Consider the following 3,641-nt stretch of genomic DNA (forward strand, 5'->3'; position numbering starts at 1 on the left):
GAGATAGGCAATTTGAATACTTCTATAACCATAGAAAGAATTAAATTTATAATTAAGTTCCTGGTCATGCCTAAGCTGCTGCACTGGAGAATTTCATCAAACATTTAAGGAAGAACTAATACCAATATTATACAATCTGTAACAGAAAATAGAAGAGGAAGGCATATCCCCCAACTTATTTTATGGGACTCATATTATTCCTATGCCAAAAATAGACAAACAAAACCCATACAAAAAATAAAATACAGGCCTGTATTTCTCATAATTATACATGTGAGCATTCTCAACAAAATATTGACAAATTGATTCAGTAATTTATTGACCAAGCAAGATTTTTCCAGGTAGTAGGGTTGGTTCAGCATTTGAAAATCAAATAATGTAATCCATCATGTCAATAGACCAAAAGAGAAAAATCACATAATTATATCAATTGGCAAAGCACATATAAAATTGTGAGTATCAGAAATACACAAAGAAACTCTGAAAAGTAGACAGCAAAAAACAAACACTCCAACTATAAAATGGGCAAAAGACATAAACAGATATTTCACAAATAAGAATATAAAGATGGCAAAGCAGCACATATAAATATAATATCTTTATCCATTAGGTAACTGAAAATTAAAACTACAATGAGATATCACAATACATCTATCACAATGGCTAATATAAAAGCACCACCAAATGCTTATAAGAATTTGTGCAAATGGGATTAGTCATATATTGTTAATGGGTATATAAAATGGTACTGTCACTCTGTAAAGCAATTTGATAATTTCTTAATAATTAAAAAAATCATGCAATTAATAAGACCTAGTAGTTGCATTCATGTACATTTGTCCCAGGACAATTGAAAATTATGTTTACAATAAAATCTGTGTGTACATAAATGTTTGTAACATCTTTGTCATAATAGGTCCAAACTGGAAACAACACAAATGTTATTCTTGGGCATTTGGATATATACATGGTTACATGGATATATGGTTAAACAAACTGTATTATACCCATATCCTAGAATACTACTCAGCAATAAAAGAGAATAAACAACTGAACACATGCTACAATTTGGATGAACCTTCAGGGAATTATGCAGAGTGTAAACAAGCCAGTCCCCAAAATTATTAACTGTATTGTTTCCTTAATATAATATTCTTGACATGACAAAATTATAGAAATTGAGAATGGATTATTATCTGTGGTGTAATTGGTTGTGATTATGAAAGAGCTGTGGAAGGGATCCTTGTAGCAATGGAACTATTGTGTACTTTGACCCCTGTAATTTATATAAGCCTACACATGTGATAAATCATATAGAACTAAAATCACACAGACACACATGAATAAATACAGGTACAATCAAATATATCTGAGTAATATTAGTGGATTCTATCAATGGAATATATTGGTAGTGATATTGTATACCATAGTTTTACAAGATATCATTTGGGAAATTGAGCAAGATGAACATAGAATCTCCTTGTGTTTTTTATTCTGTACATGTATATACAATTATTTCAAAATTAAAAAGTCTATTTTAAAAAATCTGTGCCAGTATTCAGGGAAATGCTTTACATGAACAGTGCGTACAATGCCTAAATAATTAAGAATGAGGGTTGCAGATTATATTAACATGGTAGATTGTGTCTGTTGAGTTAGGAACTGTGAAGGTCTGAGCCTTTGCTGTACTTGCAAAGACATAAGACTAGAAACACAAACACTGTATTACTTATGGCAGAAGTGGCAGTCAGAATATAATCAGTCCTAGATCCCCAATCCGTGATCCTCTTGCAATGTTATAAAAAGTGTTAAATGTTACCCATACATGCAGTGGTAAGTATTATAGAAGAGGAAATCTGAAATTAGGATCTGGTTCTGATGTCACATAAGGGCTTCTGGTGTCTGGTCCATTCTTCCTTCTAGGGGGAAAAAATGGGAATTTATCTTTAGTCTTCAATCCTCTTTGAGAAGAGGAGGGTAAATTTATTATCCTGAAATGACTTTGGAGACGGGAAAATACTTTCATTATGATACTGTTCAGAAAATAAGCCTACCCACAAACTAGAAGGGAGACACTATTTCTTGTGTCCAAGAATGTTTATTATGCTAATTTCCTTTAAAAAGTGGTCAGTGCCCTTTGCTCAGCAAATCTATACAGCAATATGACATGCTCGTGGAGATTTGTTCCCTAGCATGAGACAGATTATTAGAAAGCATAAAAAGAGTTTACACTTCATCCTATTATCCATCCTTTCGACTCATATTTGTCCCATGATAGAATTATTTATTGAGTACTTACCTTTCAGATATTTTTGTCATTTTGGGATAAAATTAAAATGTTCATGGCTTTATAGAACCAAGATTGTATTTGGTAATAAAGACAGATAACAAAAAGTACAGCATATAAATAAGGGCTAATATAGACATAAATATATAGAGAATTTTCATAGTAACCCTAAGGTATTTAATTTTTCAGAAGAGAGAAGGCAAGAATATGTGACGCAAGATGGCAACAATAGACCTGGGGACTAATAAAGAGAAGAGGGAGAGAGGAGGGCAAGCGTTAAAAAACTTACTGTTGAGTGCTATGCTCACTATCTGGATGACAAGATCATTTGTATCCCAAACCTAAGCATCATGCATTATACCCATGTAACAATCCTGCACATGTACCCCTTGAATCTGAAAGAAAAGTTGACTTTAAAAAAATTAGTTAGACAACAGTAACAACAATCTAGTTCTGGGCTAAAAAGTGCCTTAAAAATAATGGTCTTGGAGAAAAGTGAAGATATTCAAGAAGGTATTCTTTTTTTTTTTTTTTTTTTTTTTTTTTAAGAATATTTGAAAAGGTTCTTTTCAAGCTCCACTGATTGACAGCTGTGGTTGCCTAGAGACTAAGAACACTTAATGAGTTTCCATTGTTCGGTAATCATGCCTGATTGTATCTCAGACAGATTAGAGATAGGTTGAGCATTCAGTGATAGAAACACATAATATGCAGGGGTATCAGGTGCCCACAATTCCTACTTCCCCCTTAAGGCTTGGGAAAAAAGTCTCTCCCCCCTTAAGGCTTGAAAAAGAATTGGAAACATACTAATGGGATGGGTGATGAGAAAATTTAGCCACTCAGTAGCACAGTAGTACCCTCTTTAACTGGAGAACATACCTTCCAAGACCCTCAGTAGATGCTTGAAAATGAAGTTGGTACCAAATCTTATATATGCCAGGTTTTTACCTGTATTACATGCCAATAATAAATGTTATTTTATTATTGATTTAATTTATAAATGTTATGTGAGTATGGTCTCTCTCAAAATATCTTATTGTACTGTATTCACCATTCTTGTGATGATACAAATTGATAAAATGTCAACATGATGAGATGAGGTAAGGTGAACGACACAGGCATTGTGACATACTACAGAAAATACATAAGAAGGAGGAATCATCTGCTTTGGGTAATCCTGGAACAGCAAGCCATAATGTTGATGATTGGATGCCAGGAGCAGATGATGTCAATGACAAATAGAGTATGCAGTCTGGATACCCCGGACAAAGGGATGAGTTATGTCCCAGGCAGGACAGATAAGGATGGGTATGCAGTTTCATTGTGCTACTCAGAACAGTGTGCAATTTAAAAC

General features: G+C 33.4%; 1 annotated feature.

The window, feature by feature from the left end:
• Nucleotides 2,572-3,285: an enhancer, noted in NCBI's record as "OCT4-NANOG hESC enhancer chr8:115461867-115462580 (GRCh37/hg19 assembly coordinates)". NCBI's record gives its function as "activates a minimal SCP1, AML or CMV promoter by ChIP-STARR-seq in naive H9 embryonic stem cells {active_cell/tissue: H9 hESC(naive)}" and the evidence as "EXISTENCE:reporter gene assay evidence [ECO:0000049][PMID:30033119]".

Source organism: Homo sapiens, chromosome 8 (genome assembly GCF_000001405.40).
Source record: "Homo sapiens chromosome 8, GRCh38.p14 Primary Assembly".
In the NCBI taxonomy this organism is placed as follows: domain Eukaryota; kingdom Metazoa; phylum Chordata; class Mammalia; order Primates; family Hominidae; genus Homo; species Homo sapiens.